A 9,370-nucleotide genomic window follows, 5' to 3' on the forward strand; every position below is an offset into this window, starting at 1 on the left:
CTTACTGTGCGCCTGTGTGCATGGGGAGCGAGGGCTGTGTGGAGTCTCCGGCCTGGAAACTAGTTTGTGTGTGCATGTGTCTGTGTGACGGTGGCATGAGTGTGCATGCATACGTGTCACATGTGTGAACAGTTTCTGCACTTAGACGCGTGCACAGGTGGTCTGTACGTACATGCTGGTAAAAAACATGTCTGTGACACACATTCAAGCACAAATGTACCCATGTCTGAACAAGCAGGCATGCCTGCATGGCACTTTTCTTGTAGAGACAAGGTCTTTGTGGCCCAGGCTGGAGTACTGGCATGAGCATAGCTCACTGCAGCTTTGAACTCCTGTCTCAAGTGACCCTCCTGTTTCAGCTTCTACAGGCGTGCACAATGCCTGGTTAATTTTGTTTTCTTGGTATGTTGGCCAGGTTGGTCTCAAATTCCTGGCCTCAAGCAATCCTCCTGCCATGGCCTCCCAAAGCACTGGGATTACAGGTGTGAGCCACCACACCCAGGTGGTATGTTTATGCACCTTTCCATATGAGCACTGGAAGCAGGTAGGCTGGCTGAGGACATGGTGGACCCTGTACGTACCTCCACTTGCAGCTTGTGACAAGGCCTTACTCAGTGAGCCTCAATGTGGACCATGTGCTCTGTGGAGACCAGGCTCACAGGAGTTGGACCCTCAAGTCTGGTTATTTGGTGACCTCCATAGCTCTCAATGCAACCATGAACTTGGGTAGAGTCAGAGGGATCTGGCAGCAGACCTGAGAAAGGTGCACGATTCAAAGCCTGGTTTCCGAGGCTGTGCGCCTCTGGGCAAGTGATAGGCCCTGATGTGTCTCACTTGGCAGAACCACGACTCTAACCCAGTGGACTCCACAACTCCAAAAATTAACTTCCTAGGGACAGGTAGAGAGCAGGGAAAACCGATGACACTCTCGGCTGTGCACTGTAACTGCTACAAGTAATGTGGAGGCGCTGGCCAATACAGTAGCCATGACCATGTATGGCTATTTAAATTTAGGTTAAATAAAATGGAGTGTTCAGCTCCCAACCATCACATGGGCCACACATCCACCACTGCAATCATTTCTCAGATGCTGATGAGAGCTACTCCTCCCACACTCATGCAGCAGCAGGCGCTGTGGAGCACCTGCACGGGTGCCCTTTGAGCCCCTGGCCCCCCAAGGGGAGGCTCCCATAGTGTGGCCTAGAGCAGAGCGCCCGCCCCTCCCAGGCCTTGCCCCACACCCATGGCTGTGTGGCACTGTCTAACCAGGGAACCCGTAGGGAGCCCTGGTACAGTGGATGCTTAATAACAGCCACTTGGCCCCCATTAGATGGGGCAGTCGGAGAAAGGTTCAAAGCCATTCCCAGTGACCCAGGACCTAAAAAAGGCACAGGATCCAGAAACGCCAGGGAGTGGAAGCTGGGACAACCCTTCCTCCACACAAGGGCCACCTGCATACTGCCCTAGCCCATTTCTTCCCAGGGTGCTGAGGGCAGCCTCTCATGCAGACTCATCCCTGGGGAGTCCCCAGACCTGCCTCACTGCCCTACCCGGCATTCCCTAGAGGAGCTGGGTGGTCATGGGCCACCCCAGATGGATGCCAGGAGCCACGACCCTGGGAAGGCTGAGGAATGAACACCCCTCACACTTTCTGGCCCTGGGAGGGAGCCTGGCTTCCTTGCAGGTTCATGGAGACCCCAAGTGCCAGGTGGGGTTACCTGTGGCTGTGACCAACTCCCACCTGGTGGCAAGAGCCCACCCTTTCCCAGCAGCCTGCTGGAAGGACCTGTTCAGAGCTGGGGGCCTGCTAGTGGGCAGAGGCCTGGGTGGCTCCCCCTGGACGCAGCTCAGCAGCTGAACCCACAGAGGATGAAGCACCAGAGTTTGGAGTGTTCTGTCCGCTGTTTAACAGGGGCCCCTGTGCCCAAGGCCTCAGCTGTGAGGTCAGAACTGCTAGGGCTCAGTGAGTCCTCACAGAGCTGTCACCTGAGATTCCGGCCCCAGCACACCCTAAACCCAGACCAACACAGAAGCCACACACAGCAAAAGCAGACCCATCAGAAGGGACTGGCTGCCCACAGCACACAGCCAATGCACGCTTTCAGAGAAGGCATAGCAACAGAGACCTTAAGAGAAAACCCGTGACAGGCCAGGCATGGTGGCTCACACCTGTAATCCCAGCACTTTGGGAGGCCGAGGTGGGCGGATCACCTGAGGTCATAAGTTTGAGACCACCATGGCCAACAATGGTGAAACCTCATCTCTACTGAAAATACAAAACTAGCCAGGCGTGGTGGCAGGTGCCTGTAATCCCAGCTACTCCGGAGGCTGAGGCAGGAGAATCACCTGGACCCAGGAGGTGGCGGTTACAGTGAGCTGAGATTGCGCCATTGCACTCCAGCCTGGGCATCAAGAGCAAAACAGTCTCAAAAACACAAAACAAACCAATCCTTATAAAAACGGAGTAAAAGCTTCAAGATGCTTTTATGTCAAGGGTGTGGGGTTGCCCTGCTTGGCCTGCAGTGCTTTGGGGCCCCATGTGGTGGAGGGGTGGGCACCCATGGTACCCACCCACCCTGCTGCCTGGGCAGAAGTGCAACATGGCACACGATGCCTGGGGGATCACTCCCCCCAGGGACTCATGGTCAGTGTCCACTCACAAGGCCTGCTTCCCTCATGACATCTGGCCAGTGACACCCACAGGGGAGGTTGGGGGCAGACACCCTTCTCTTCCGGTACCCTTGAACATGGTGTCAGGGTGTGGCTAGCTCGACGGACACCGAACAGCTCCACAGGGAGGGTAGTGCCCAAGGCTTTTTGCCTCCCCTACCATGTCCCGCACTTCCTGAATGCAGCTCAAACCAGGAGCAGCTCCCCCAGGATTCTGGCCTGCTTCACCCCTGGAGCACCAGGCCAGGCGGTGTCTGTCCTTGAGAGCCAGGCCCAGGTCTCACGGTGGCGTATGGACAGCTCCTCCCCATAGGCCTGGTCACAATAGGGAAGCGGGGGTGGCTCCTCCCCTAGCCTGCAGGAAGCCCTTGGTAGCCCACTTATCCACCTTCTCCTGGGTGTGTGGCTCAGCAGCCAAGTCCTTGTGCACTGGGTTGGGTCCCAGCATGAGCCTGGTGGCCTGGCGGGCCCTGGCACCATGGAGAGCAGCCTGCTGCCAGTGATGGCCTGGATCTCCAAGACGGCCTCCAGCACTGTCATGCCCTTGACCAGCTAGTGCTGGTACAGGACCTGGGTAACAGGCATGTCCTTGGGCGTCACTGGCTCAGGGGCAGAGGACGAGGTTGAGGAGGAAGCTGGATACCCCTGTCCATGGTGGGCTGGGGCTGGAAGGGTGGCTCAGTGGCCTCGAAGTGCCGGGAGGACTCCCAGCTGGCACCAGGCCATCAGCAGCCGGGTGGGCAGTGCCGTGCTGCTGTTGCCCTCAGGGCCTTGCAGTGGTAGCTGAAGATGGCACCTTATCAGGTTGGATCAGGTCACCCGGCAGCAGCAGCTCTCGAGAGCTGAGGCACAAGGCAGGGGCCCGGCTGTACACCTGCAGGACCCAGGAGAGCCTGTTGCAGTTCTTGCCCGAAGCGCCGAGATAGCCAGCTCAGTGTCCCTGCAGCAGGAGCAGAACCAGCTCTGGCCCAGGTGGGTGGGTGGCAGCGCTTTCCTAGCCATGGCTGCAGCCACGCCTAGGCAGGAAACAGCAGAGTGTCTGGAGGGATGCTGTCAGGGGAAGGACACAGAAAAGGCACGAATGGGGGAAACAGCCACACCCCCACCATCACCTCCCGGAGTGGGGCCCCTCAGAACCCCGGATGTCAAAGGTCCCGGGGTGCACCGTGTCCTCAGGGGCAGTCAGAGCCCAGTGCTGGACATCACGGGGTCCCCAAGTGCAGCCCTTTCAAGAACCCTGGACACTGGACATCTCACTGCAACCCAGCCCCAGCCCCCATCCCACCTCCGCCCCCCAACAGGGTTACTAAGGTTAATGAGCCCAGTGCTTAGGGCAGCGCCTGGCTCAGCACTTGCTGGGCACCTGTCTACATCTGCCTTCTCACCAACACCAGGAGTAACAGGCAGCCTCCTCTGTTCTTAATGAGTGATGGTCAGGCCCTTCAGCACCTGGAGGCAGGAGGGCACAGGGGAGGGGAGAAGGTCAGTGGGGTGCAGGGCAGCCAAGATACCCACCAGCCCTCCCCAGAGCCAGGGCCCCTCAGACCCCCGGGTGTCAAAGGTCCCGGGGGGCACCGTGTCCTCAGTGGCAGTCGGAGCCCAGTGCTGGACATCATGGAGGCCCCGGTGCCCTCACCCCCTCCTGATGTGGGTCCCAGGACCACCTACTGTCCTAAGGGGGACATCACAGAAGAGTGCTGAGAGATCAGGCAACAAACTGAATGACACTTGGTCCCTGGGGGTGCCAGGCTACCTCCCCTCCCCATCCAGCTCAGCCTGGGTATGGCTCCTTGTATGATCTAGGCCCACTGACCTCACCCCTCCCCGCCCCCCAGCAGCAGTGTTTCTCTGGAAAACGGGACTAGAGATGCCTGCAGACAGGCACATCTGTGGGGTTCAGTGAGAGGACGGGGCCAAACCCTTCTGCTTGGGCCTCCCATGCCTAACGGGATACCCCTCAATCGCCTCTGCTGCCCCCGGCCCAGCTCTTCTAAGCTGCTCTGACTTCACCAGAACCTTCTGTGACATGGGGAAGGGGCAGCTGCCTCTCACTGGGACCCTGGCAGGATAAGTTCAGTTTATTCTCCGCAAAAGCACTAACACTGTGGGTGCTCGCTCAGTGGGTGCTGCTGTTTAACAACCTCAGAAACACCAAAAGCCCCATTTTGCATAGAAATATGCTTTGTAGGAAGAGGGGGGTCCTTGTTTAAACTAATCAAGGAAAATTAAAAACCCAGCCCCCAGCCACAAACTAGCCACATTCCAGGTGTCCAAGAGCCACCCGTGGCCAGTGGCTGCCAGACTGGACAAGGCGAGGAACATTTCTATCTGGACAGTCGTAAGGAAGGCGCCGGCCCAGAATCCACAAATGCTACGTGTCCCTTCTGTCTCCCTATCCCGCATCAGCTCTGTCGTCTCACCTCTCACACATCCCTACCCAACTGGCACCGACACCACTCATGTCCCCAAGAATCCCCTCTAAGCCAGCCATGACAAACGCTCAGCTCCATTCACTACCCCACAGAGGATCTCGGATTAAGAGCACAGGACCCGGCCGGGCATGGTGGCTCACGCGTGTAATCCCAGCACTTTGGGAGGCTGAGGCGGGTGGATCACGAGGACAGGAGATCAAGAACACCCTGGCTAACACAGTGAAACCCCACTTCTACTAAAAATACAAAAAAAAAAAAAAAAAAATTAGCCGGGCGTGGTGGCAGGCGCCTGTAGTCCCAGCTACTCGGGAGGCTGAGGCAGGAGAATGGCGTGAACCTGGGAGGTGGAGCTTGCAGTGAGCCGAGATCGCATCACTATACTCCAGTCCAGGCGACAGAGCAAGACTCCCTCTCAAAAAAAAAAAAAAAAAAAAAAGCACAGGACCCTCAGAAAGATACTCAGGGGAACTGCAATCCCAGCCAACCCTGCCCAAAAGCCAGCTTCCCTGCCAGAAATAGCTGAAACCTCCAAGAACCCGGAGAACACACTTTCAGTTCTATTTCGCTGCAGCCACGGTTCCAGCTCCTGACACCTAAGGAACAAATGAAAATCTTCCCAGAGCTGAGAACACCTGTCTCTTTTCTGATAACACACACTCATGCTTGTCTGATTTTGCTCTTTGAAACAATTCTCCTGATAAAGCCTGTTATTTTTATTGTGAAAATAGGAGTTCCCTGAATTCTATCAGTTTATATATAAACGGTTCACTGCAGGCTAAGCTGTGCTTAAAGACACATTGCATTCAGCCTACAAAACCCATGAAGTAACGTGACAGAATCACCTGGTAGTTACTGTCTCTTTTCCACTGCTGAGTTTTGACATGTTTGATTAGTTCTTTCCCCTGAAACGCAAATGCTTGTTCCCTCCAGTCCACGCATTCCTCTTCTTATTCAAGCCCCACCTTCAGAAGGCGGGAAGCGCTAGTGCCCCGGGCCATTTGCTCGGTGCCTGTTCCACAGACACAGCAGTGAGGCGCAAAAGAGTGATGGCCTGGTGAATGTCTCCAAGCCTGTAAACAGCAGAGCTGGGGTTTGGACCCAGGCCTGCCTGCCAAGTTTTCCATAGTTGTGAGATGGGTGTTTTTTTTTTTGAGATGGGAGTTTCACTCTTGTTGTCCAGGCTGAAGTGCAATGGTACAATCTTGGCTCACTGCAACCTCTGCTTCCCGGGTTCAAGTGATTCTCCTGCCTTAGCTTCCTGAATAGCTGGGATTACAGGCATGTGCCACCACGCCTGGCTAAATTTTTTTTTTTTTTTGAGACACAGTCTTGCTCTGTTGCCCAGGCTGGAGTGCAGTGGCACAATCTCGGCTCACTGCAACCTCTGCCTCACGGGTTCAAGCAATTCTCCTGCCTCAGCCTCCTGAGTAGCTGGGATTACAGGCACCCGCCACCACGCCCAGCTATTTTTTGTATTTTTAGTAGAGATGGGGGTTTTCACCATGTTGGTCAGGCTGGTCTTGAACCCCTGACCTCATGATCCACCTGCCTCGGCTTCCCAAAGTGCTGGGATTACAGGCGTGAGCCACTGTGCCCGGCCTAATTTTTTGTATTTTTAGTAGAGACGGGGTTTCACCATGTTGGCTGGGCTGGTCTCGAACTCCTGACCTCAGGTAATCCACCTACCTCAGCCTCCCAAAGTGCTGGAATTACAGGTGTAAGCCACTGCGCCCAGCCTGAGATGGTTTTTGTATGTAAACACTGAGTACAATCATTGGCACATCAATCAGTTTCTAGAGGTACGGTATGAAGTCAACCTAGACAGTGAGATATTTTAAACCCAGGTGAGTGAAGGAGCAGGAGCAAGGGTTCTTACCTGGATAGGCATGGTGGGTGGTCCTAAGCTTGAAGCTGCACCTGTAACACAGAAAGACACAGTGAGAGTGGGGGAGGAAACAGTCTGCAAGTCCACAAGCCATTAAAACTGGGGCCCCTCAGACCCCCAGGTGTCAAAGGTCCTGGGGTGCACTGTGTCCTCAGGGGTGATCAGAGCCCAGTGCTGGACATCATGGGAGCCCCAGCCCCTCTGCAACCAGGTCCTGAGGCCACTTACCTTCAGGGACAGAGGCCAAGCTAACAGAGCTTAAAGAGTAGGAAACGCGGCCGGGCACGGTGGCTCACGCCTGCAACCTCAGCACTTTGGGAAGCCGAGGTGGGCAGATCACGAAGTCAGGAGTTCGAGACCAGCCTGGCCAATATGGTGAAACCCTGTCTCTATTGAAAATACAAAATTAGCCAGGCGTGGTGGAGAATGCCTGTAATCTCAGCTACTCGGGAGGCTGAGGCAGGAGAATTGCTTGAACCCAGGAGGCGGAGGTTGCAGTGAGCCAAGTCGTGCCACTGCACTCCAACCTGGGCGACAGAGCAAGACTTGTCTCAAAAAGAGTAGGAAATGCAAAACTCATCCAGAAGGTAGGAATGACCAGTTTTGCTCATGGAGACACCAAGATGCCCCAACCTCCCCAGTGTCACAGGTCCTCGGGGGACTGTCCTCATGGGATGGGTAGGACCCCAAATGCACTACATGAAGATGTCCCCGGTGTTCATCCCCCACTGTTTGCAGGTTTCTTTAGCACTGCCTACATCTGCACATAACCCATAAACAGAGAAAGCTGCCAAGACACAAATCCCCTGGAAGAACTTATTGAGAGAAGGAAGAAGAAACAAAGCCAACTTGTAAATAATAATGAGGAGAGACCCTCGACTGAGTCAGGTTTGAACATATCAGCTGTAAAAGACATTTCGAAGATGACTGAGGAACAACAGGCACAAAGCAGATTGTTAAATTGCAGTATTAAGGGTGACAATGCTAATAACATTAAGTAGAAAAATGTTACTGTAGGTACACAAGTACACTATTTTGAGTGAAATATGAACCTTTCTTTCAAGTAAGAGTCTGCTCTGTTGCCCAGGCTGGAGTGCAGTGGCGCGATCTTGGCTAAAGGCATTCTCCCACTTCCTTCATAAGTAGCTGGGACTACAGGCCCGCACCACCACGCTTGGCTCACTTTACTATTTTTTTGTAGAAATGGGGTTTTGCCATGTTGCTCAGGCTGGTCTTGAACTCCTAGGGTCAAGCGACCCACCCACCTCGGCCTCCCAAAGTGCTGGGATAACAGGCATGAGCCACCGCGTTCGGCCATGAAACTTACTTTCAAAACACTTAAGCACAAGGTTTTTGAATATGGCAAGATGGTGCAAATGTTAACTTTTCCCATTTGTTGGTAGATTTTAATATTGCCAAAGGACGACGTGCCAACGATGAATGCATGAAAAAATACTTTCACTTGTGACATGAACAAACTCAACGATTTTCTAGGTGGTTGCCTGAAGGAGGTAAGTCAAGTAGAGATCCTTGCTGGGGTCGTGGTGGGGGAGATAGGAAATGGGCTAGCTGCTTCCAGGCTGAGCCTCCTCGGCAGGGGCATGGGCCCCGCTCAAGTCAGGAAACCGATGTTCAAGACCTTAAAGGACCTAAGCCAAAAACTAACGTTAACAAAACCCTCTCACGTGGCATGAACGGTCAGAACGACTCCCGCAGGTAAGCAAAGGCCTCGTTTGCTTCCTTCTATATCCATTCCTACACGACTCTCAAACCCGGCAATTCACCTAGAAACTTCACTCTCACTTCTTTGGTAACTCGATACCCTATCTGTGCCCCCATGGAACCCCCCAAAACCCTCTCCCGTCCCCCAGTCTTTGTTCTAGGTTGCACAAAAATGCCAGCCATCCAGAATTTTAAAAGCAAGAGAGAATTCCTAAGGAAGCACCTGTAGGTAGCACGAAAATGGAAACACTCGGAAAGAACTCAATGTCGCCTCCCAGCCCGCCCACCCCTCTCCCCCAACCAAATCGACAAGATGGCGGAGGCCCGCGGCGTGCGGGCAGCACAAGGGGCGAGCTCCGCCGCGGGGCAGACGGAGGGGGGTCCGCCCCAGCATCCCCGCTCGCGCCAGCTATAGGAGTCGCAAACTCCCAGGCGGCCCAAACAGCCACCACCATCCCCGCAGAAAACTCCCAGGCTCGCCCCGGAGGGCGCTCTCTGGGTCCTTGCAAACGCCCTGACCCTTTCCACGCGACTACATGGCCGCTCCCGTCGCAGCCTCGAACCCTTCAGGACACGTGCGTCTTTCCACACAGCCGGAAAAAGTAATAAACTTAAGAACCTCACCCCAGCATTTCTCTCTCCGAAGCGGGCGCGGGTTGCA

At 54.8% G+C, this 9,370-nt stretch overlaps 3 non-coding genes and 1 pseudogene across 13 annotated transcripts, besides 3 other annotated features; all 4 read right to left on the reverse strand.

Moving 5' to 3' along the window:
* Positions 107-166: a silencer, noted in NCBI's record as "silent region_10978". NCBI's record gives its function as "represses an Ori minimal core promoter by ATAC-STARR-seq in GM12878 lymphoblastoid cells {active_cell/tissue: GM12878}" and the evidence as "EXISTENCE:reporter gene assay evidence [ECO:0000049][PMID:35858748]".
* Positions 1,747-1,866: an enhancer, noted in NCBI's record as "active region_14998". NCBI's record gives its function as "activates an Ori minimal core promoter by ATAC-STARR-seq in GM12878 lymphoblastoid cells {active_cell/tissue: GM12878}" and the evidence as "EXISTENCE:reporter gene assay evidence [ECO:0000049][PMID:35858748]".
* C19orf48P (chromosome 19 open reading frame 48, pseudogene) lies at positions 2,466-9,356 on the reverse strand (annotated as a pseudogene). Of its 10 annotated transcripts, NR_171556.1 has the most exons (6): positions 9,334-9,356; positions 8,315-8,636; positions 7,216-7,376; positions 6,979-7,019; positions 4,034-4,119; positions 2,466-3,720 (listed from the first exon to the last, which is right to left on the reverse strand). The product of NR_171556.1 is annotated as a chromosome 19 open reading frame 48, pseudogene, transcript variant 3 (transcript). The 10 variants fall into 10 exon arrangements; NR_171562.1 differs by lacking the exon at positions 8,315-8,636 and having other exon boundaries at positions 2,466-3,686; positions 4,056-4,119; NR_171554.1 differs by lacking the exon at positions 8,315-8,636 and having other exon boundaries at positions 4,056-4,119.
* SNORD88B (small nucleolar RNA, C/D box 88B) lies at positions 3,791-3,887 on the reverse strand. The gene has a single exon (NR_003068.1). It is a non-coding gene; the product is annotated as a small nucleolar RNA, C/D box 88B (small nucleolar RNA).
* On the reverse strand, positions 4,201-4,297 carry SNORD88A (small nucleolar RNA, C/D box 88A). The gene has a single exon (NR_003067.1). It is a non-coding gene; the product is annotated as a small nucleolar RNA, C/D box 88A (small nucleolar RNA).
* Positions 6,783-7,283: an enhancer, noted in NCBI's record as "H3K4me1 hESC enhancer chr19:51305278-51305778 (GRCh37/hg19 assembly coordinates)". NCBI's record gives its function as "activates a minimal SCP1, AML or CMV promoter by ChIP-STARR-seq in naive H9 embryonic stem cells {active_cell/tissue: H9 hESC(naive)}" and the evidence as "EXISTENCE:reporter gene assay evidence [ECO:0000049][PMID:30033119]".
* SNORD88C (small nucleolar RNA, C/D box 88C) lies at positions 7,087-7,183 on the reverse strand. The gene has a single exon (NR_003069.1). It is a non-coding gene; the product is annotated as a small nucleolar RNA, C/D box 88C (small nucleolar RNA).

This window comes from Homo sapiens, chromosome 19, assembly GCF_000001405.40.
Source record: "Homo sapiens chromosome 19, GRCh38.p14 Primary Assembly".
In the NCBI taxonomy this organism is placed as follows: Eukaryota; Metazoa; Chordata; class Mammalia; order Primates; family Hominidae; genus Homo; species Homo sapiens.